Consider the following 25,846-nt stretch of genomic DNA (forward strand, 5'->3'; position numbering starts at 1 on the left):
TGTCTGTAGTTGTGGATCCCAGTGGTTGAATGGTAAAAGCTTCTTTGTGTAAATTCTCAATAGCCATTGGTTTATCAGACAGTAAGAATAAAACAGTAGAAGGAATTTGAAGTCATCTAGATGCATGCCTAATATACTACCAGATGGATGAAATATTGTGACTTGCTGTTGATTTAACTTGATTAATAGTGAGTTTAAATATTTTTCATGTATCTGTTGGGTGTTTGCACATTCTCTTCTGTTAATTTCTTCTTCAAAACTTTTGCCCATTTTGTCTTGAATTTTATTTTTAAAATATTTGTCATAAATAAATTCTAGATACTAAATTATTGCCTATTACATACATTACAATATATTCTCCTGTTTTTTGCTTACATTTTAACTTCCCTTAAGGTAGTTTTTATTGTACAAAAGTCATAAATATTAATGTAGGTAAACCTGTCTTTCTATCCGTCCATTCATCCATGTTTCTTTTGGAAATTTATTTTGAAAAGATCTTTCCAATTCTAACCTTCTAGACAAATCCTTCTCTATTATAGTGCTTCTGTTTTGGCAATAAAACTTTTTTTCATTTTACATGACAGTATAAATTATATATCTTTCCAATTTTAGTTTTTCCAAATAGTTCATCAAATAGTGTCTGCATGATGTATTGAATAGACTGTCCTTCCTCACTTATTTAAAATGGCATATGTATCACCTGTTGATGATCTATACATGTATAAATGTTTATTTGTTCTTTTTTGCTAAGTCTTTGGCTGTCCTTTTATATTTACTCTTTCACATGAATTTTAGAATTTCTGTTCTAAAATTTGTAATGTCTTTTACAATCCTATGGAAAATCTTGGTGGGGTTTTATTCAGAAATGCACTGAACTCATAGATTAATTTGAGAAATTAAGAATTGCTTTTATGTATGAATCTTACTTGGAATCTCAACTGTAAGACAGATACATTTGAAACAATATTAACTGAAGGAACTAAGTTACAAAAATTCATAGAGAATTCATGAATCATAGCTGGGAATTTCTAAAGCTAGTTATAAAAGGAGATGGCAAAACATATTTAATCTTTTATGTTTTGCTAACTGCAATTACTTAATTGACTTTTGCAAGGAGAGAAAGCAATGGAAAACTCAACTTGGAAAGAGATGAATCACTCTTTAGGCTTTAACTCCTGGATATACGGGTCTGGTCATTTGCTGACTGGATATCAAGATCCTCAAGGCAGAAAGTTTCTCAGCATCTTCTTTTTACTTCAAGAATAAGGTCTTTATTTCTGAGAAATGTGATACTTTTATTTTTTAGTTATTTAATTGTATTTATAGCATTTTAAGAGCCATACCTGTTAAAAGTCATTGAACTATGATTAAAATAACTGCAACTATGTGCATTGTAATTACCTTCAGAAGCATTTGACAATCTTACAAGCTGAAATTACAAACCGCATGAGACACCTCATTTATTTGCTGAGTGGCTATAGCCCCAGGACTCTAGACTTTCTGGGGATGTTAAAAATACTCTCTTGGGATAATAGAAATACTAGCGCACTGGGTCAGAGAAAAATATTGGTTTTATCTTTGATGTCTGGGTGCAAAACAAAAGGTGAACAATAGCAGATAAAGGGGTATAACCTGGTTTTATCAATATTGTTGCAAACTTTCTTCCTCATTTTTATTTTCTAGTTTGATTCCTGATCTCTAAAAGTCTATTTTCCGTCATAGGTGTAAATGTTACTTAATTCCTCCTCTCAGTGTAAATAATGCCTAATATTTGAGCAATCAAAGTGAGCTGCAAAAATGCATTATGTAGAAAATGGAAGGTGTTTATGCTTTAATCTTCCTTTAAAATATTTTTTTCTAGGACAACATAGTATGAGATTATGAGTAGGTGTTTAAGAACTGAGATAAAATTCATTACTTGTAATCCCCAATCTAACATTGAATGTGATGCATAGATTTTATCTAGAAAAATAAACCCTTACAAACATGCTGCATTTTTCGATATCACTGTTTTAAAGCAGGAGTTTCTAATTTGTCTAAGTATGAGGAAACATACTGAAAATGCATAAAAATGTGGTTTTACTTTTTAGCATTTTCATACCGTGAAAATATATCATGAAAAAGAACAAATGGAAGCATTGCAATATGTTAAAAATAACTTGCACATTATTAGTAAAAACATACATACACTTAACATTTATACATATATGTAAAATGTTATACCAGTGTACAGACAATGCTTGATAATCACTTGTATTAACAGGCCAGTTGAAATAAGCTCATGGCTCCCTCGGCATCTGAACCCCACACGTTGGGAACCATTGTTATAGGGGAGTTCTTTTTGTTTCCCTTCTGTCTTTCTCCTCCTCCCAGTAACCTTCTTTTAATTAGCTTTCCTTCATGATTATCAATAATTATTTTTTGGCATAGATTATAATACTTTTAAGAGGGTGTAATTTTTGTCCAAATAATTTTATAAAAAGTAATGAAGTCATTGAGCTGAAACACAACATATGAATTGTTAACATAGAACAATCATACCTGCTGAGGTAGTTATCCAAAGTCATTTGACAACCATCTCTTGTCTAAAAATGGTGTACAAATTAAAATATCAATTAAGTATTCACTAGGAATTATGAAAACAAAATCATCCATCTAAAGCTTTTCTATAAAACAAACATATGCTAATTATAAGTGTGTTCTGCAGAAGACAGTTAAATAATTTTACTTTCTGAATAATTGATGCCTTAGTGGAAACAGAACAAAACATGTTAAAGTTTTAATCAGCCACAGGTTTACTGTGCTTGTAATCTCAAGTTTCTAGTAGCAATGTGTTGTTTAAGCTAAGTGATGTAAGACATGTGCGTAATCATACTATGTGGTCATTTTTTCCCCCATTGAACAAGGTTTTTTTATTGTATGTTTGTGTTGCATTCAGAAGCTAATGAACTAGTCGGGATGATCAGTCACATGTAGGTACAACCATAACAAAGGTTATAAAATGATGAATTTAAAAATGGATGCACAGACACATTTCCACTCCTAAAAAAAGCAATCCTCATCAACTTCAGCCATTACAGATCATTTTTAAGAGTGGAGTATTAGGTAAAAATTGCTGCTTCAATAAACAAAGCTAAAAATATATTAAGTCTGAGTAAATTATTGAGAGAATACTGTGTGCCAGATACTCTACTAAATACAAGTGAAACCACCATAACTAAGAAATAAACTTTGCCCTCAAAAAGGTGCTAGGGTGAAAAGGTATATATGAAATAAAATCTTTACAAGAATTTTTGTTAATAGATATAATAGAGGTAGAGGCAAATTTAAATGGGATTTAGAAAGTGGAGAGAATAATGTTGTCAATGGAAGAGATGGTTAGAATGCCCCGTGGAAGTGTTAGCATGTGTCTTGAGGAGTGAGTGGAGTCTGCGAGTCAGATATAAATATAATTTATATTCCTGGAATGGAGTGCTTGACTGTGGGACTAGACAATTCTTGGAATAGTCTTTGAGACTCTGGATTGTTAGCTAAACATTCTTTATAATATAAACTATAAAGATTCAAAATTACTAACAATTATTTTATACCCCCAGATCATTTATCATTCTGGTTCTTACCTCTGTTTCTCTTCATGCACAGACACAAACAAAATAATTCACACAAGAGTAACTAAACAAAGTAAAACATGATTATTCCCAATTTGGTGAAGTTAATAAAAACTGGTCTGATATTAAGGCAAGAGTTAGCTTTTAAGGATGAAAATCCTTACCAATTAATTGTCTTCTTTGAATAAGAATTGGAGAGAGGATTTGTATCTGATGTCCCATATATGTCCATTATCCTTGTTTGTATCTTGCATTTCTCCATTTCTGAATTATCCACTTAAAAGAAAACTATCTCCAACACTATGAAAGGAAAGTCTTTTTTTGACCCTTTTACTCAAGTTTCACAAAAAAAATTGAGAGCAGGCCAGGGAACTTCACTTTTGGTTTCCTTCCACCTCTTCCTTCTAATTTCCAAGATATTGCAAGAAATAGTTCTTGTTTTATTAATACGGTTATTGTGAAGATTGAGATTAATCGTGATGCATTATTATGTAGAAAGCATACCCTGAAGATTAACTATTGTTGTGACACTTATCTTGAGTGGAGGGAAAAAAGTTTAGAAACCTAAAGTTCATGGCTTCATCATCCTTTCCCTGTGCATCCCTTTACATCAATTAAAGATAAACGATTGACCAGCTTTAGTGATATAATAGTATGTTATCAAGGAAACATTTCACTAGATAATTATTGTGTACATAAAAATGGAGTAGAGAAAATGGGAGAAATATGGAAAATGAGGGTATTAGGATGAGAAGCAGCAAAATACTTTGGAGATCTAGTCTAGTAGAAATATTTGTTGTGGTAGAGTGTATGTCAAATACAGAGAGAATAAATGAAAGAACTGTTGGCAAAAGACAGTTTATTTTGAAAATTTAACCTGAGTTTCTTCTCCAAAAGTGAGCAGTTTCAAGTGTGGATTATTATCAGAATATGCAGCCCAACTTTACATGGATTCATTCAAAAGTAATCTTTAAGCTATGCTGTTACTCAAATGCACTAAGTTAATAATGCAGTTAATTGAACAACATATATGGAGCGTTGCCTACACTTCAGGCATAGCTTAATCATTAGATACAGAAATATGAAAAAAGACAATATGTTTGCCCACATGGCACCAATAATAGTGTATATGATGCAGTTTAGGTAACAAAATAGTCATAATTAAGTGGGACAACTTATTTAAAATATTGTACAAGATACCATATGTTCCTATGAGAAGATGCAACTATTTTCACAGGAGTGGAACCTGGAAAGTTTAAAAGAGAAGTGATAAAAAATATAATCTTTTTTTGAGAAAATTAATTTTTTGAGAAAATTAAGATTAGTTCCTCAATTTAACTCTCCTTCAGAATTTTAAACGACTAACACTCTTTAGACTCATTTAAATGATTTTTTTTTAAGAGAGAGGAAAAAGGAATTTGTGTTTTTTTAAGGAATAAAATCATCTGATGAGGTTTTAAATTAAGTACACAAACTGATTAAGATTTAAATTATTTTAAACTAATATTTCTTCTATAATAATGATAAAGTATAATTCTTAATCAAACTTCCAGAAGTTTCTTATGATTTACTGGAAACAAAAGAAAACCAGACAAAATAAAGATGTCTCAAAATATTGTGCTGGTAAATTGCAAACTAGAGTTGGCACTAAATACTTTAGATTAATTTGTTTTCCTTGTTTATTCTGTAGCAATTCTGTTACTTTGGACAACAGTTGTTTTCTACATAACATTTTCCTATTTGAATGAGTTGTGAAAAATACATTTCCTAGTTGAAGAATCCTTGATGTGGGAAGAATTATTTCAAAAAATGAATGTTTATATTTAGCTCAGAAGATAGTGAATTGCTGAAAACTTTTATATTCCTTATATAAGATGCATAGAAGACAGAAAGAGTTGCAAATGTATTTATATTTAAAGTATATAAGCCTTCTTGATACACTAAACTTCAAGTGCCAAATGTTTCAAGTATGCTATTATAAATTCTTCCTTGATATATACATATATATAGCTTCACCAAGAATCAAGGAAGAATTTATAATATAATATATATTTATAATATATAACAATATATATTTATATATTATAATTATATTACATATATATTTTATAATATATATTACACATATATAATAAATATTATATTATAAATATATTGTGTTACAAATATTATAATATATTACATATATGATGTATATTATAAATATGTATTTTTTTATATATATATATTTTTAAGATGGAGTCTCATTCTGTCACCAGGCTGGAGTGCAGAGGTGCGATCTCGGCTCATTGTAACCTCCGCCTTCTGGGTTCAAGAGATTCTTCTGCCTCAGCCTCCCAAGAAGCTAGGACTACAGGTGCGTGCCACAATGACCAGCTAATTTTTTTTTATTTTTAGTGGAGACAGGGTTTCACCGTGTTGGCCAGGATGGTATCAATTTCTTGACCTCGTGATCCTCCCACCTCAGCCTCCCAAAGTGCTGGGATTATAGGCATGATCCACCATGCCCGGCCGGTAAAGCTATATTTTATAGGCAATCATGCTTGTATTATTTTGGTGGCTTTTCTTCTTCCTCTTTGTCCTCCTTATTCCTGCTCTTCATCTTCCTCTTCCTTCCCATCTTCTTTTATTTAAACAGAAAATGAGTTTACTTACTCTGCATCTAATAGCAATGAAATAGAACATACGTATGTGATCTCTCTATATACTAATAAATTACTAAAGACTCATAAGATATAGCAGAGTTGGCTCAATCATTCACATATTAAAGGAAATTTGGGTTCTCTTCAGTATTTGATTATTACAAATAAGGCTTATATGGACATAGTTTTCCTTTTTTGTAGCATAAATATTAAAAGGTGCCATTGCTGAGTCACAAAGGATATGTTTAGTTCTAAGAATTTTTTAAAAGGTTGATATTATTTTTATTGTTATTAGCTTCTTGCAATCATAAAATTGATCTGTTTTAGTTTCCTTTTGCTGTTGTAACAAATTATCACAAATTTAATGGCTTAAAACAATAACAATATATTATGTTACAGTCTGAAGTCTGAAATGGGTCTCAAGAAGCTAAAATCAAGATGTTAGTAGAGTTGTGTTCCTTCTGAAAACCCTAGGTGAGATTCAATTTCCTTCCTTTTCTGTCTTCTAGAAGGCTGCTCACTCATAGATCTCTTCTGTCTTCAACACGAGCTATCACATCACTTTGACCTCTGCTTCTGTCATTATATCTCTTTCCTTGACGCTGATGCTCCTGCCTCCCTTTTACGTGGATATAAATGCTTGTGATTCCATTGAGTCCCTCCTGGATATTCCATCATAGCCTTCCTATCTCAAGATCCTTGACTTAATTTCATCCATAGTCTAATCTACAAATATGTCCATCACAGATACAAATTGATAAATCACATCTTTTGCCGTGGAAGTTAACATACTCAGATTCTGGGAATTGGGACATGGACATCTTTGAGGCAGCATTATTCTACCTACTACATACCTATTAGTCAGTAATAATCTTACATTCAGAATTGAAATCCAAATATATTGATGTAATAGTTCTTTTCAAAAATTATATTTAAACTAATGAATTAGTTGTTGCAATTTTAATAAACATATAGAGTTAAATACAATATAATTTCTTTAAAGGGATAGAAATCATGAAGAGATAAGTTTACCTAAAGCAACATAAATACTTTCAAATTCTCTCTCCAAATCAAAGTATAAGAGAAATAATGTTCAGCAATGTTGTGTTTTACCCACATTTTTGAATACTTTCAGTATGGCATTAAGAAATTCAGATAGATTATATTACAACAATTTCTCTGCTTGTGAAACAAAGGCTATGCCTTGGTGATAAATTTTTCCTCATTTTTTGCACACACCATATCCCCTATTGATGAACATGGATTGGCATACCCAATTAAGACTATAATCAACTAAATATTACACAGAACAAAATTTTCCTCTTCATTTGCTTTAATTTATTCTAGTTGTAAATGCCATTGCCTTTCTTAACCACAGAATAAATCTCACTCTAGGCTCAATTACTACAGCTTAGAATTAGATGTGAGTTGTTTTATAATTATATCAATTTTGGAGTACCATTTTAATTATCATAACTTTTGTGAAGACATTGGATCTCAGAAAATGACATACGTGACTACATTTACATCCTCTCTGTAAAACTTAAAATTATATAAAACATTTTTTCATATTTCATTGATTTTACAATTTCAAAAAGTAAACACCTAAACAGATGTTTACTACATTTAATATAAAATCTATGCTGTGACATTAAACGTTTTCTTCCTTCAATAAAACTTATCTTTAAGAATTGTAGAATGCTCTAAATTATTTTCTTTTACTTTGCATAAGACTAAAAAATTTGATAACTTCTTGTCATTAATTTTTTCTGAAATATTCTTACTCTATACTGTTTTTTGAAGATATAGTAATTGTCTTTCCCTCAGTGTTCCTGGTGAGGAGTAAGTGAGATCATGTCTATAAAGGATTTAGCACTGCCTCTGGCATGTAGAAAACCATTGGTAACTCTTAGTGTGTGGCCTGCCTTTGATTAGATGATAAACTCTTGGGAGGCCGGCACCACAATTGTATTTTCCACAGTCATGTTGGAATGATGCAGAAACTAAATGAATCTGCAGCTACTTACTCATCCTGCCTCTGGGCAGGGTCATCTTAAAATTGTTCTTGCTGCCAAGCTTCCTATGTTCAAAGAGCCCTTGGGGAAGCAAGCTCCACGGCCCCCATTGATAATGCATTCCTCAAAGTTTTTCATAAACCCCCATCGTTGCTATTAAAATTCTATATGCCACTTACACATGTAGAAAATGATCCTCAAGTCCACTACCACATAGGTAATCACTGTGACACTGCAAGGGTATCTCATCTGGCGTTTTGCTGTGTGTGTGTGTGTGTTTTACAAAATCTGGGTCCTACTACATGTATGGTTTCTGTCCAGCTCTTTTCAGTGAAGAGATGAACTTCTGTATCATTAAATATTTTTGAGAACATGAAAAAAAGAGAAGTCTTATAAAAAGGAATCCAGGTTTAAAGAGGCTTGCATGTATCGTTTCAGTTAACATTATTATGAATTTACAAGTAAGTGTTACTTGATGTTATAGTTGGAAGTATAGTCACTCTACTTAATACTACATTAATCATACCAATGGATCAACTATGACTGTTATTAGTTCAGTTGTGCGTCCCCAAGTTTATATATTGAAGGCCTAACTCCCAGTATCATAGAATATGACCTTATTTGGAGGTAGAGTCTTTACAGAGGTAGTGAAATTAAAACGAAGTCATTAGGGTGTGCCCCAATCCAATATGACATGTGTTCTTATTAAAAGGAGAAATTTTGAAGCCAATCATGCACATAAGAAGAATGCCAGATGAAATTAAAGAAGCACTTAGGAAAATGCTTTTGCAAGCCAAGGAATTCCCAGGAGTGCTAGCAGACCACCAGCAGTTAGTGGGGAGGCATGAAACAGATTCTTCCTCCCAGCTCTCAGAAAGAACCAACCCTCTTGATACCTTGATCTTGCAGTTTCAATCTCCAGTATTGTGAGACAATGCATTTATTTGTTTAGGCCATTCAGTTTATGGTACTTTGCTATGATAGCCCAGGAAAACTAATACAAGAACTTTGTCTTTAAATATTGTATTCCATTGATATGTTGAACTATATTATGAAGTCTGAAGGAATATTTCTCTTTAGCATCAGTTTTAAGTGTACAATATATTGCATTTGAATAATTTACATTTTTGGTTTCAGAAAATGTCATTGAACAAGATTTTAACAAAAATTTATAGGCTGGGCAGAGTAACTGATTGAAAGGTAGACTTTTTAAACTTTAGTTTTAGGGGTGCATGCGCAAGTTTGTTATATAGGTAATTTGCATATCACAGAGGTTTGCTGTACAAATTATTTCATCACTCAGGAAATAAGCACAGTACCCAATAGGTAGGTTTTTAATCCCTACCTTCCTCTCACCTTCTACCCTCAAGTAGGCTGTGGTGTCTATTTTTCTCTTCCTGTTTTTGTGGGTATTCAAGATTAAGGTCCCACTTATCAGTGAGAACATGTGGTATTTGGTTTTCTGTTCCTGCATTAGTTCATTAGGATAATGACCTCCAGCTCCATCCATGTTGCTGCAAAGGACATGTTCTTATTATATTTTATGGTTGAGTAGTATTCCATGGTTTATATGTACACATTTTCTTTATCCAGTCTATTGTTGATGGGCATCCAGGTTGATTCCATGTCTTTCCTATTGTGAATAGTGCTGTGATGAACATTCATGTGCATGTGTCTTTATGATATAACAATTTACATTCCTTTGGGTAAATCCTCAATAATGGAATTGCTGGTTAAATGGTACTTCCATTTTAAGTTCTTTGAGAAAACTCCAGACTACTTTCCACAGTCACTGAATTAGTTTACATTTCCACCAGCAGCGTGTAAGCGTTCCCTTTTCTCTGCAACCTTGTAAACATCTGTTATATTTTGACTTTTTAATAATAGCCTTCCAACTGGCATAAGATGGTATCTCAGTGTAGCTTTATTTGTATTTCTTTAATGATTAGTGATATTGAACTTTTTTCATATACTTGTTGGCCACACGTAAGTCTTCTGAAAAGTGTCTGTTCATGTTCTTTGCCCACTTTTTAGTGGGATTGTTTGTTTGTTGTTTGTTAATTTAAGTTCCTTACAGATGATGGATATTAGGCCTTTGTCAGATGCATAGTTTGCAAATATTTTCTCCAATACTGTGGGTTGTCTGTTTACTCCATTGATAGTTTTTTTTGCTGTACAGAATCACTTTGATTTGATTAGGTCTCACTTGTCAATTTTTGTTTTTGCTGCAGTTGCTTTTGGTGTCTTCTCATGAAATCTTTGCCAAGGCCCATGTCCAGAATGGTGTTTCCTAGGTTATCTTTCAAGGTTTTTATAGTTTTAGGTTTCACACTTAAGTCTTGATATGGTTTGGATTTGCGTCCCCTCCCAAATCTCATGTCAAATTATAATCCCCAGTGTTGGAGAACAGGCCTGGTGGGAGGTGCTTGGCTAATGGGGGCAGATTTCCCCCTTGCTGTTCTCATGATTGTGAGTGAGTTCTCACAATATCTGGTTGTTTGGGAGTGTGCAGCACCTCCCACTTCATTATCTCTTCATCCTGTTCTAGCCATGTAGGATGTGCCTCCTTCTTCTTTGCCTTTTGGCATGATTGTAAGTTTCCTGAGGACTCCACAACCATGCTGCCTGTACAGCCTGCAGAACTGTAAGTCAATTAAACCTCTTTTCTTTATAAATTAACCAGTCTCAGCTAGTTTCTTATAGCAATGTGAGAATGGTGTGGAAGCAGCTTTGCAAGGGGCTAATGGGCAGAGGTTGGAACAGTTTGGAGAGCTCAGAAGATGACAGGAAGATGAGAGAAAGTTTTGAACTTTCTAGAGACTTGTTAAATTCTTGGGAACAAAATGCTGATAGTGATATGGATAATGAAGTCCAGGTTGAGGTGGTTTCAGATGGAGATGCGAAAACTTATTGGGAACTGGAGCAAAGGTCACTTTTGTTATGCGTTAGCAAAGAGTTTGGAGGCATTTTGCCTCTTCCCTGGAGATCTGTGGAAGTTTGAACTTGAAAGAGATGATTTAGAGTATTTGGCAGAAGGAATTTCTAAACAGCAAAGCACTCAAGATGTGGTCTGGCTGCTTCTAACACAGTAAGTTATATGCATGAGCAAAGAGATAATCTGAAACTGGAACTTTTTTTATATTTAAAAGGAAAGCAGAGCATAACAGTTAAGAAAATTTGCAGCCTGACAATGTAGTAGAAAAGAAAAACCCGTTTTCTGGGGATGAATTGAAGCTGGTTTCAGAAATTTGCATAAGTAATGAGGAGCTGAATGTCAGTAGCCAAAACAATGGGGAAAATGCCTCAAAGTCATTTCAGAGAACTTCATGGCAGCATCTCCCAGCACAGGCCTGGAGGCCTAGAATGGAAAGAATGGATTTGTGGGCAGAGGCGAGGGCCCTGCTTCCCTGCATGAGCTCAGGACACTGCTTCCTGCATCCCAGCTGCTCCAGCTCCAGCTGTAACTAAATGGGCCTCAGATATGTCTCAGGCCACTGCTCCAGAGGGTGTAAGCTGTATGCCTTGGTGGCTTCCATGTGGTGTTAAGCCTGTGGCTATGCAGAGGGCAAGAGTTGAGGCATGGGACCCTCTGTCGAGATTTCAGAAGATGTATGGCAATTCCTGAATATCTAAGCAGAAGTTTGCTGCTGAGGTGAAGCCCTAATGGAACCTCTACTAGGGCAGTGTGGAGAGGAAATATGGGGTTGAAACTCCCACACAGAGTTCCCTCTGGGGAATTGCCTAGAGGAGCTGTGAGAAGAGGGCCACCATCCTCCAGACCCCAGAATGGTAGATCCACCAGCAGCTTGCACTGTGTTCCTGGAAAAGCCACATGCACTCAACACCAGCCCATGAAAACAGCCGAGGGGGCTGTACCTGCAGAGTCACAGGTGTGGAGCTGCCCAATGCCTTGAAAGCCTGCCCCTTGAATCAGTGTGGACTGGATATGAGACATGGAGTCAAAGGGGATTATTTTGGAGCTTTAAGGTTTAATGATTGCCCTGCTGGGTTTTGGACTTGCATGGGGTCTTTAGCCCCTTTGTTTTGGCTGATTTCTCCCTTTTGGGACAGGGATATTGACACAGTGACTGTACCCTCATTGTATCTTGGAAGTAACTAACTTTTTTTTTTTTATTTTACAGGCTCATAGGCAGAAGGAACTTGCCTTGTTTAAGATGAGACTTTGGACTCTGGACTTTTGAGTTAATTCTGAAATGAGTTAAGACTTGGGGGACTGTTGAGAAGGGATAGTTGTATTTTGCAATGTGAGAAGGACATGAGATTGGGAGGGGCCAAGGGTAGAATGATATGGTTTGGATTTGTGTCCCTGCCCAAATATCATGTCAAATTTTAATACCCAGTGTTGGAGGAAGGGCCTGGTGGGAAGTGATTGGATCATTGGGGTGGACTTCTCCCTTGCTGTTCTTGTGATAGTGAGTTCTCATGAGATCTGGTTGTTTGAAAGTGTGTGGCATCTCCCCCTTTACTCACTCTTCCTCTTGCTCCAGCCATGTAGGACATGCCTTCTTCCTCTTCTTCTTCCACCATGGTTGTAAGTTTCTTGAGGCCTCCACAGCCATGCTTCCTGTACAGCCTGTGGAACTGTGAGTCAATTAAACCTCTTTTTTTATTATAAGTTTCCAAGTCTCAGATAGTTCTTTATAGCAATGTGAAAATGGACTAATAGAAGTCTTTAATCCATCTCGAGTTGATTTTTGTATATGGCATAAGAAAGGGGTCCTGTTTCAATCTTTTGCATATGGCTAGCGAGTTTTCCCTGCATCATTTATTGAATCCTTTTCCCATTGCTTGTTATTGTAATCTTTGTCAAAGATCAGATGGTTGTAGATGTATAGCTTTATTTCTAGGTTCTATAACCTGTTCTATTGGTTTATGTGTCTATTTTGTACCAGTACCATGCTCTTTTGGACACTAATATTGTAGCCTTGTAGTTTGAAGTTGGGTAAGGTGATGCTTCCAGCTTTGTTCTTTTTGCTCAGAATTGCCTTGGCTATTTGGCCTCCTTTTTGTTCCATCTGAATTTTAGAATAGTTTTTTTTTTTTCTAATTCTGTGAAGAATGTCATTGGTAGTTTGGGAAGAATAGCACTGAATGTGTAATTTGCTTGGAACCATATGGCCATTTTGACAATATTGATTATTCTTATCCATGAACATGGAATACTTCTCCATTTGTCTGTGTCATCTCTGATTTCTTTCAGCAGTATTTTGTATTTCGTGTAGAGATCTTTCTCCTCCCTGGTTAGCTGTATTCCTAGATATTTTATTTTTGTGTGGCTATTGCAAGTGGGGTTGCATTACTGATTTGGCACCCAACTGGGATGTTGTTGGTGTATAAAATTTTACTGATTTTCATACATTGATATCCTGAAACTTTGCTGAACTTTTTTTTATCAGACCTGGGAGCTTTTCAGCAGAGACTATGGGGGTTTCTAGACATAGAATGATATCATCTGCAAAGAGATAGTTTTACTTCATCTCTTTTTTATTTAGATGCCTTTCATTTTTTTCTCTCCCCTGATTGCTATGGCTAGAACTTTCAATACTATGTTGAATAGGAGTGGTAAAAGTGACCACCATTGTCTTGTTCTGGTTCTCAAGGGAAATGCTTCCAGCTTTTGCCCATTCAGTTTGATGTTGCCTGTGGGTTTGTCATAGAATGCTCTTATTATTTTGAGGTATGTTCTAAAGAGTAGAACATAATCATACTAATTACATAGTCATATTAATCTGACATCAATCCCAAAGATAAACTGGCATGGGTAGCAGTCATACACCTCCTGGGTATAAGACTAGAGCTCCCGGGTCAGGGGCGGATGACCATCTTTGCTGATTCACAGCCTCAGCCATTGTGGCCTTAGGGCTCTAGGGAGTCCAAGGCAACTAGATCCTGGAGTGGCACAGCTGCTGCATACTGCAGCAGCCCTATGGAAAAGTGTTAAGTCTGTTACATGGGTGCCTGTTTCCATACCTCCTCAAATGGGCAGGTCCTCTTGTCCTGGATCTCCAGCAACTCCCTGCTGGGAATATCGAGCCAGTAGCAGCTCTGCAACTCCTTGGACAGAGCTCTCAATGGGAGGGATAGGTTGGCATCTTTGCTGTCTTGCTGCCTTCACCTTTCCTGTCTCCAGGCTTGGGAGAGTCTGTGTGGACCGAGGGCTGGTCTGGACCCCCAGCACAGAGGAACTACCTCACAGAAAAGTGGCCAGACTGTTCTCCATGGCCAGACTGTTCTCCATGCAGATCCTGGTCCTCACCTCTCCTAACTGGGTAGGGCTGCTCAACCTGGAACTCTAGCACAACCATTCTTACCCCACACGATCACTGCAATCAGAGACAGCCCAGCATTTCTCCAAGGAGGAAACCCCAAAGTCAACCCACAACACCTCTGCCCCTACAGTGGTGCGGCCCTACAGCCCTAACAGCCCAGAGAAGGAACAAAGAGCCTAGTTATTACACTGGCACTTTCAGCACGCTGCAGCCACCATACGGAGAGGAGTCCAGCCCCTCTTCCCTGGGAACCCTCACCCTCACTTTTCACCAGGCAAGGCCCCTGGCTCATGAATGCAGAACAGTTGCCCCATCCATGGCTAAGCATACCCACTGGTAGTGGACTGGAGTTTCCCTGGGGAGAGACTCCTAGATACTTACAACAGCCCCTCTGCCACTGCCACAGTAATAGTTCTATTTCTGCTGCCCTTGGTTTGAGGAAGAAACAAAGAGCCTGAGAGCTACACTCAAGCTTACAGCATGCCACAGCCACCATACAGAGAAGAGGCCAATCTCTTTTGCTTATGAGCCTTCAACACCCTGTTCCCTAACAACTGTAACCCCAAGGTCATGCCAGGAGTACAGCCACCCCAGCCCACTGGCTGAACACCCTCACTAACAGCAGCTCCACATTTCTTGGAGGTGGAGCCCCCAAGGGTAACTAAAAGCCTCTGCCACTCCTTCTGCAGTGGAACTGCCCTTGTCACTATCAGACTAGTGAATGAACAAAGACCCTAAGTGCCTTATCTGCACCTCCAACAAACTGCAGTCAACCCAAGGAGAGGAGAGGTTTGTCTCCCATAGGTGCCCCTCACTCTGTGCTTGTCACCAGACAGGAAATCCTGGACTTTGGCTCACAGAATAAACGCTCATCCTGGGCTGATTGTGAAGTGGCATCGTTGTCTGGGGTCTACTCAAGATTTGTTGTCTCTGAGCTATAGAAAACTAGGATACAGACACAAGAGTGATGTTCAGAGTGGAAGTCTAATAGGTGAGAAAAGGAGAGAAGCTCTCGCTACAGAGAAGGGTCCTAGAGAAATGGGTTGCCACTTCTGTGATGAAATGCAGCGGGTTTGATAGATGAGCCTGAGGAGCTGGTGTCTGATTTACATAGAATATGCAAAATTGGTTGGACCAGGTGTGCTATTTGCATAGGGTGTGAAAATCTGGCCGCTCCCACCTAATCTTTTATTATGCAGATGGGTTCTCTGCCTTGCTGGCATCATGTTGCCTGTTTCTTTACTGTACACGTGGTGAAAAAGAGAAGGGAAGATGGAGCCTCCATGTTGAACATACCTGGCCCCCAGGTAGCCATCTTCTATTGGCACAGCTGCTGGCATTCACCTGTGCAATCTTCCAGCTTGCTTATCTATGTTTGCAACTCGATTTTTCAGGCTGCTCTTTGTTAGAAAAGAAATGATTTTTTAAGCTGCTTTTTGTTAAAAGGGAAATTCTGCTGAGACTCTTTTACCTTCACTATCTGCCTAAATAATTTCTTTCTATCTCCTGTATCAATTGCATTGAGCAAGTGCTGACCTGCATCTCCTTGTGGTGGAGCCCCCAGTAGACAAGCAAAAGACTTTTGGCCACAACCACTACTAAGGTCCCTTCCTTTGCTGCCTTCAAGTTGGGGAAGGAAAATACACCTTGAGATCACCCCAGAGTTGAAGTGGGCAGCCCAGGAGTGCCAAGCTGTGATCTACAGCTAGCACTACAGTGGGAGAGGAACCCATACTTTCAGAGCATTGAGAGGGACCAAAGTTGCAACTCTGAGGAAATCTAGGGGAGCCACATGACCAAGCAAGATCAACTGACCAGTACACCTAAGCGCCACCTACTGTATCACATCCCAAAGCTGTAACACCAAAAATACCTTGCTAACATGAAACCAAAGACAAGAAGTTAGCTTCAAATAAAGACCCTGCACAAAGCCTTGCCCTATGAAAACATCTAGAAAATAAGTCTATTTACTGTACTCAGTGTGCGCTGCAGTTAAAGGAACACCCACATGCAGAGATGAGAAAAAAACCAATGCAAGAACTCCAATAACTCAAATGACCACAGTGTCGCATGTCCTCCAAATGATCGCAGCAGTTCTTCAACAGGGTTCTTAACCAGGCTGACCTGACTGAAATGACAGAGATAGAATTCAGAATATGGATGTAAATGAAGATCATCAAAATTCAGGAGAATGGTAAAAAGTGATCCAAGAAAACTAAGAATCACAATTAAATAATACAGGAGCCGAAAGATAAAACAGCTGTTATAAAAAAGAACCGAACATATCTGACAGAGCTGAAAAACACACTGCAAGAATTTCACAATGCAATCACAAGTATTAACAGCAGAATAGACGAAGCAGAGGAAAGAATTTCAGAACTTGAAGATTGGCTTTTTGTAATAAGACATTCAGACAAAAATAAAGAAAATGAATGAAAAGGAAGGAACAAAACCTTGAGAAATATGGGGTTATGTGAAGAGGCCAAAATCTACAAATCACTGGCATCCCTCAAAGGGATGGGGAGAAAACAAACAACTTGGAATACCTATTTAAAGATATTTTCATGAAAAATTCCCCAACCTTGCTACAGAAGCCAACAGTCAAATTCAGAAAATACAGAGAACCCCTACCAGGTTCTACACAAGCTCATTATCCTCAAGACACGTAATCATTGGATTTTCCAAGCTTGAAATGAATGAAAGAAGTTAAAGGCAGCTAGAGAGAAAGGGCAGGTCACCTATAAGGGGAACCCCATCAGGCTAATAGCAGACCTCTCAGCTCAAACCCTGCAAGTCAGAAGAAATTGGCGGTCTCTATTCAACATTTTAAAGAAAAAAGTCTTCAACCAACAATTTCATATCCAACCAAACTAAGATTTCCAAGTAAAAAAGAAGTAAGATCATTTTCAGATAAGCAAATGTTGAGGGAGTTAGTTACCTCCAGACTTTCCTTATAAGAGATCTTGAAAGGAGCACTAAATAAAGGAAAAACTGTTACCAGCTAATACAACACACTTAAATACACAGACCAGTGACACTGTAAAGCAATCACACAAACAAGCCAGCTTAATAACCTGTAACACACAGCATAATAACCTGTAACAACACAATAACCAGTAATAACCTGTAACAACACAATGACAGGATAAAATCCACATATATTAATACTAATGTTGAATGTAAATGGGATAAATCCTTCGTTTAAAAGACACAGAGTGGCAAGCTTGGATAAAAAAGCAAGACCCAATGGCAAGATGTCTTCCAGAGACTGTCTCACACATAATGACACCCATCAGCTAAAAATAAAGGGATGCAGGAAAATCTACCAAGCAAATGGAAATCAGAAAAAAGCAGGGGTTGCAATTCTATTTTCAGATAGAACAGACTCTAAAAAAACAATGAGCGAGAAAGACAAAGAAGAGCATTACATAATGGTAAAAGGTTCAATTCAACAAGAAGACTTAACTATCCTAAATATATTTGCACCCAATACAAGAGTACCCAGATTCATAAAGCAACTTTTAGAGGCCCACAAAGAGATTTAGACTCCCACAGAATAATAGTAGGAGACTTCAACACTCCACTAGCAGTATTAGAGAGATCGAGGCAGAAAATTAACAAACATATTTGCGACCTGAACTCAACATTAGACCAAATGGATCTGGTAGATATCTACAGAACTCTTCACCCCTAAACAACAGAATATAAATTCCTCACATCACCACATGGAATTTACTCTAAAATCTACCACATATGTCCATAAACTGGACATAAAACAATCCTCAACAAATGCGAAAGAATTGAAATTATACCAGGTACACACAGGGACCACAGCACAATATAAACATAAGTCAAGATTTTAAAAAAATCACTTAAAACTATGCGATTACATTGGCAATAAGCTCCTGAATAACTTTTGGGAAAGGATGAAATTCAGGCAGAAATTAAAAAGATTTTTGAAAATAATGAGAACAAAATTACAACATACCAGAATCTCTGGGACATAGCTAACACAGCGCTGAGGGAAATTCGTAGCACTAAATGCCCACATCATAAAATTAGAAAAATTTCAAGTTAACAACCTAACTGAACTTGTTGTTTCAAGTGAACAACACAACTGAAAGAATTAGAGAAGCAAGAACAAATCAACCCCAAGGCTAGCACAATACAATAAATAAACAAAATCAGAGTTGAACTGAAGGAAGCCAAAATATGAAAAACCATTTAAAAGATCAACAAATCCAGGAGTTGATTCTTTTTAAATAATAACGTAGATAAGCCTCTAGCTAGACTAATAAAAAAGAATATGCAAATAAACACAATTAGAAATGACAAAGGAGATGGTACCGCTGACCCCACAGACATAAAAATAACCATCACAAACTCCTATAAACACCTCTATGCACACAAACTAAAAAACGGAGAAGAGATGGGTAAATTCCTGGACACATACACCTTCCCAAGACTGAACCAGGAAGAAATTGATTCCCTGAACAGACCAATAACAAATTCCAATGTTGAATGCATAATAAATAGCCTACCCTACCAACTGAAAAAAAAAAGCCCAGGACCAGAAGGATTCACAGAATAATTATACCAGATGTACAAATAAGAGCAAGTGCCATTCCTGCTGATACTGTTACAAAAAATTGAGGAAGAGGAACTTCTACCCTACTCGTTCTATGTGGGCAGCACCATCCTGATACCAAAACCTGGCAGAGACACAATAAAAGAAGAAAACTTCAAGCCAGTAACACTATGCAATAATCCTCAACAAATTCACCACCATCAAGCAGGCTTCATCTCTGGTATGCAAGGTTGATTCAACCTATGCCAATCAATAAATGTGATTCATCACATAAACAAAACTAAAAAAAAGATAATCTCAATAGATGCAGAAAAACTTTTGATAAAATTAAACATTCCTTCACGTTAAAAACTCTCTATAAACTAGATATTAAAGGAACATACCCCAAAATAATAACAGTCATCTATGAAAGATGACACAGCCAATATTATTTTGAATGGGGAAAAGCTGGAAGCATTCCCCTTGAAAAGCAGCACAAGATAAGGATGTCCTTTATCTCCACTCCCATTCAACATGGTATTGGAAGTCCTGGTCAGAACAATCAGGCAACAGAAAGAAAGAAAGTGCATCCAGATAGGAAGAGAGGAAGTCAAACTATCCATCTTTGCAGACAACATGTTTCTATACCTAGAAAACCACATAGTCTTGGCCCAAAAGCTCTGTAAGCTGTTAAACAACATCAGCAAAGTCTCAGGATACAAAATCAATGTACAAAAATCACTAGCATTGCTACACACCAATAATAGTCAAGCCAAGAGCCAAATTGGGAAGACAATCCCATTCACAATTGCCACCAAAAATAAAATACAGCTAACCAGGGAGGTGAAAGATCTCTACAATGAGAATTACAAAACACTGCTTGAAGAAATCAGAGATGACATAAACACATGGAAAAACATTCCATGCTTATGGTTAGGAAGAATCAATATCATTAAAATGGCCATACTACCCAAAGCAATTTACACATTCAATGCTATTTTTTTGTCTTTTTTGAAATTTCTGTTTTTTTTTTTTTTTTTGAGACAGAATCTCATTCTATTGCCCAGGCTGGAGTGCAATGGCAGAATTTCAGGTCACTGCAACCTCTGCCTGTCAGGTTCAAGTGATTCTTGTTCCTCAGCCTCCTGAGTAGTTGGGATTACAGATGTGTACCACCACACCTGGATACTTGTTGTATTTTTTGAAGAGAAGGAGTTTCACCACGTTTACCAAGCTGGTCTTGAACTCCTGACCTCAGGCGATCCACCTTCCTGGGCCTCCCAAAGTGCTGGGATTACAGGTGTGAGCCATTACAGCTGGCCAATGCTGTTTCTATCAAACTACCAATGACATTCTTCACAGAAGTAGAAAAAGCTATTTTAAATTCATTTGGAACCAAAAAAGGTCCCAAATAGCCAAGGCAATCCTAAGCAAAAAGAACAAAGCTGGAGGCATCACGTTATCCAACTTCAAACTATACTACAGAGCCACAGTAAACAAAACAGCATGGTACTGCTACAAAAACAGAAACATGGACCAATGAAACAGAATAATAGAGAGTCCAGAAATAAGACCTATGACTGTGTGATCTTTGACAAGGATGACAAAAACAAGCAGTGGGGAAAATAGTCCCTGTTTAATAAATGGTGCTGGAAGCAAAAGGTTGAAACTGGACCACTTCCTTACACCATATGCAAAAATCAACTCAAGGTGACTTAGACTTAAATGTAAAACCCCAAACTATAAAATCCCTGGAAGACAACCTAGACAATACCATCCTGGAATAGAAATGGGAAAAGATTAGTGACAAAGGTGCCAAAAAGAATTGCAACAAAAGCAAAAATTGATGAGTGGGATGCAATTAAACTTAAGAGTTCCTGCACAGCAAAAGAAACTATCATCAACAGAATAAACAACCTACAGAATGGGAGGAAAGTTTTGCAAACTATGCATCTGACAAAGGTTTAATATCCAGCATCTATAAGGGACTTAAACAAATTTACAAGAGAAAAACAACCTCATTAAAAAGAGGGCAAAGGACAGGAACAAACTTTTTTTAAGATAAGGCATACATGTGGCCAAGAAGCTTATGAAAAAAACCTCAATATCACTGATCATTAGAGAAATGCAAATCATAACCAAAATGAGATACCATCTCACATCAGTCAGAATGGCTATTATGAAAAAGTAAAAAAAAAAACAGATACTGATGAGATTGTAGAGAAAAGTGAACACCACTTTTGGTGGGAGTGTAAATTAGTTCAACCATTGTGGAAAGCAGTATGATGATTTCTCAAAGAGCTAAAAACAGAACTACCATTTGACCCAAGAATTTCATTACTGGGTATATACCCAAAGGAATAAAAATTATTCTACCATAAATACACATGCATACAAATGTTCATTGCAGCACTATTTACAATAGCGAAGACATGGTGTTAACTTCAATGCCCATCAATGACAAATTGCATGAAGAAAATGTGGCCTACATACACCATAGAATACTATGCACACACAAAAAAGAATGAGATCATGTCTTTTGCAGGAAAATTGATGAAGCTGGGGGCCACTATCTTTAGCAAACTTGACACAGGAAAAGAAAGCCAAATACCATATGTACTCACTTATAAGTGGGAGCTAAATGGTGATAACTAATGAACACAAAGAAGGGAGCGATAGACACTGGGGTCCACTTGAGGTACAGGGCGGGAGGAGGGAGAAGAGTAGAAAAGATAAATATTGGGTACTAGGCTTAGCATCTGGGTGATGAAATAACCTGTACAACAGACCCCCATGATATGAGTTTACATATGTTTCAAACCTGCACATGTACCCCTGAGCCAAAAACAAAAGTTTCAAAAATTTCTTTTTTGTTCTTTAGCATAGTTTCATAATTTTTTATATGGTATATTCTCATGTCTTGGTAAGTGTATTAATAGAAATTGTATATTTTTGTTGTGTCCCAAGCTTCCTCTATAATTTTATTTTTTAAGTAAATTCTTTTTATGTGAGCTTAAAAATAATTCCTTATTGTTTACCAGGATTATGACTGAAGATTATATATAAACTTTTAAAAATCTCAGTTTCTTTATTTGTGTGATAGAGATAAGGAGAGTCATTACATTTCATGTATCTTATCATATTTACAAACTCTTTCTTTGTGCCAGTCACTCCTGTAGCAGACTCCAGGAGAAGAGAAGTCACAAAGACGACTGGTTTTTGCCTTGATGGAGCTTACAGTCTAGAAGAGAAGATAGATATTAAACAAAGTCTTCACCTACAATGATGGGAAGACTACAAAAGGGAAGTGAACGTTTTATTAGAGCAATTAATGGAGAATTAATGAATTAATTTGGGTATAAGACTGTAGTGTCAAAGAAAGCCTCCCTAGGGAAGAAATGTTTCAAGTGTAACTTGGGAAATGAGTAAGAGTTGACCAGTGAACTGGAGGCAGAGTGATTCTGGCATAGAAAAAAAGCTCATGCCAGTTCTTTAGGGTATTCATAAAACCAAAGGAAAGGTTGAATATCTAAAGGGAGATGTGTTTAGGGAGGGTGGCATAAAATGAGACTGGAAAAATGATCAGAGGCCAAATATCAAAGGGTCTTAAAGATGAATTTTTAGAGTCAGATAGGGTGATACTAATATTAGGTTGGTGCAATAGTAATTTAATGGCAAAAACTCCAATTACTTTTGCACCAACCTAATATTTATGTGAAACCATGATTGTCCTGACTTGGTGAGATTTTTTTAAAGCAAAGTTTCTATAACTTCCTAATTCTAGTTTATGTTTATTCTCTTCAAAAGCATACGTTATTTATTTATTTATTTAATTAATTTTATTTTATTTTGAGATGGAGACTTGTTCTGTCACCCAGGCTTGAGTGCAGTGGCATGATCTCAGCTCACTGCAAGCTCCGCCTCCTGGGTTCATGCCATTCTCCTGCCTCAGCCTCCCGAGTAGCTGGGACTATAGGTGCCCGCCACCACACCTGGCTAATTTTTTGTATTTTTAGTAGAGACGGGGTTGCACCATGTTAGCCAGGACGGTCTTGATCTCCTGACCTCATGATCTGCCCGCCTAGGCCTCATAAGTTATTTATTAATCTTGTGCGTTGGTACCAGAAAAACTTTAAAATTTCAGAAAAATTTTAAATTTTCTTCCATGAAGGTTTATGAGAAGGCCAGTCACATAAATAAAAGGTAGGAAATGAATCTACTACATATATAATCCTGACAAAAAATCCTTTTTTTACCTGAAATCAAATATATATTCAATTAAAACTATTTTGAGGATCTGAGACACTTAAGTCAGCTCTGTTTTTTCTTTCTGTTACTACTGTAGAAATGTTTCTAAAACTCTGTTCTTCGCCTGTATTCTCAGCAATTTGGGAGGGTGAGGTGGGAATCGCTTGAAGCCAGGAATTTGAGACCAGCCTGGGCAAGATAGTGAGACTCCCGGTTCTAGAAAAACAAACAAACAAACAAAAAATACAATTGGCGTGGTGGCATGTACCTGTAGCCCTAGCTACTTGGAAGGCTGTGGTGAGAGAATCGCTTGAGTGCAAGAGTTCCAGACTGCAGTGAGCTGTGATCATGCCACTGCACTCCAACCTGGGTGACAGAGACCTTGCCTCAAAAGAAAACAACAACTGTTCTTGCGATTCATGTGTATGGATTTACCTATAAAGAGAAAACAAGATCTAATTAAAAGCAAATAATAGCAATATGTTGACAACAGGACATATATTGGCCTTGAATTTGAGGTTTTATTTTAATCTGGCTAGGCATTGTGCTGTGTTTAATGTTTGCTGTATCTGTGTTGCCAGGATGTTTCAAACGCTTCTGATGTCCTTGTTTTTATTTCCTTTGCTGATTTCAGGCTTCTCTATGTTCTTCTTTTCAAATTTGTATCTTGCAGGACTTTCAGCAGTAAGTCCTGTTGGTATGATGATAAGGGGTGGGGAAGTGGAAGCCTTCTCTAATCTTACGATGAAATCTCTATCTTTCAGTGGATCTGTGTCCTTGGTCTGTGACTTTTAAGTAATTCTTAGCCTTTGTTCCCTAATTAGTTGAAGCAGAAATCCTAGAAGGAGGAAGAGAGTGATACACTTAATCCCTTTTGAAACAAAGTCCTATTAAGACTTTTCCCTGAAAGTAACATCTGTTATGAAGAATGCCCGGCCGGGCACAGTGGCTCACACCTGTAATCCCAGCACTTTGAGAGGCCGAGGCGGATGAATCATGAGGTCAGGAGTTCGAGACCAGCTTGGCTAATATGGTGAAACTCCATCTCTACTAAAAATACAAAAATTAGCCAGGTGTGGTGGCACACACCTGTAGTCCCAGCTACTCGAGAGGCTGCGGCAGAAGAATCGCTTGAACCCGGGAGGCAGAGGTTGCAGTGAGCTGAGATCATGCCACTGCACACCAGCCTGGGTGACAGAGTGAGATTCTGTCTCAAAAAAATAAAAAGAGAATGTCCTGGGTGTATGTTAAAATTCTACTCCCCTTGACAGTGGTTTGAAGGGATCTTTGCTGGCTCTTCCACGCAAATCTTCTGTGATTCTTGTCTACACCAGAAGTAAAACACTATATTAAAGATGAGAAACACATCATTATTACTCTGTTACTATTATTATAGCTTTTTGTTTTATCAACTTCATATATAAATTAAGTAACAGATAAAATGGGTTTTAAACTCTGAAAAGTATGAAAATTGTGGCATGTTAATCTGCTTTAGAACCAGAATTATAATTACCCCTTGCTTATCTGTAGTTTACATTTATAAAATTGTAGATAGAAGCAGACATTGTAAGAGTTCATTATAAGTCAATATGTTGAACATCTCATTGTTTCTCTGTTGTTTGTTACAATACCAAAATATATTATTCATAGACTCACAAGCTTAGAAACATCATTTTGAGTGTTTCAAAAACCGGTTTTGGAGTTTCTGGTTTTAGCTTTGTCCTAAGACCTTGGAAGTTCTCACTCACATCTTAAAGAAAAACAAAAAAATCTGATCAAACTGAAACCCAGTGACATTTTTGGACCCATCAGAAGACTGAACTCATGGGGCAAGTGTGATTACCCCAAAATCTATAGACAGGCAAATCCAGAGTAACAGTTTACATCTTCTTACCTGAGCCATCTGAAGACTTGTACTGGTAGAAACACAAGGTAATTTTGAGGAATTGCTGGAGGCTGAGTGTGGACTAATATGAGAGTGAGGATTTCTTTGGGGGAGGTTATAGGCTTTTTAAGGGGTTACATTCTTGGGGGAGGTTACACTATTGTGAACTTTAAGTCTGTATTAGACAGGGTTCTCCAGAGAAACCAATAAGATAGATAGATATAGATATAGATAGATGATAATGATAGATAGACCGATAGATAGATAGATAGACAGACAGATAGAGATAGAGAGATATATGAGAGGGGATTTATTAGGTGAATTGACTCATGAGATTATGGAGGCTGAGAAATTTTACATTAGGCCATCTTTAAGCTGGAGAACCAGGGAAGCTGGCTCAGTCCAAGTCAAAAGGCCTCAGAACATGGAAGCCGATGGTATAACTCTCAGTCTGAGGCCAATGGCCTGAGAAACTGAGGGACCACTGGTGTAAGTCCCAGAGCCCAAAGGCCAGAGACCTGGAGTTCTGAGAGAAGCAGGAGAAGTAGAGTGCCTCAACTCTAGGAGAGAGAAAGGGAATTTGCCTTTTTG

General features: G+C 37.0%; 1 long non-coding RNA gene across 2 annotated transcripts, besides 1 other annotated feature; it reads left to right on the forward strand.

The window, feature by feature from the left end:
- The first annotated feature begins 5,929 nt into the window (after positions 1–5,929).
- LOC105375471 (uncharacterized) lies at positions 5,930–22,977 on the forward strand. Of its 2 annotated transcripts, none has more exons than XR_927905.2 (3): positions 5,930–5,964; positions 6,650–6,724; positions 22,290–22,977. It is a non-coding gene; the product is annotated as an uncharacterized LOC105375471 (long non-coding RNA). The 2 variants fall into 2 exon arrangements; XR_927906.2 differs by lacking the exon at positions 22,290–22,977 and adding an exon at positions 10,814–10,902.
- Positions 23,965–25,164: an enhancer, noted in NCBI's record as "BRD4-independent group 4 enhancer chr7:118085129-118086328 (GRCh37/hg19 assembly coordinates)". NCBI's record gives its function as "activates an origin of replication core promoter dependent on BRD2, P300/CBP, MED14 and CDK7 cofactors, and independent of BRD4, by STARR-seq in HCT116 cells {active_cell/tissue: HCT116}" and the evidence as "EXISTENCE:reporter gene assay evidence [ECO:0000049][PMID:35650434]".

The sequence above is a fragment of the Homo sapiens genome, chromosome 7 (assembly GCF_000001405.40).
Source record: "Homo sapiens chromosome 7, GRCh38.p14 Primary Assembly".
Taxonomy (NCBI): Eukaryota; Metazoa; Chordata; class Mammalia; order Primates; family Hominidae; genus Homo; species Homo sapiens.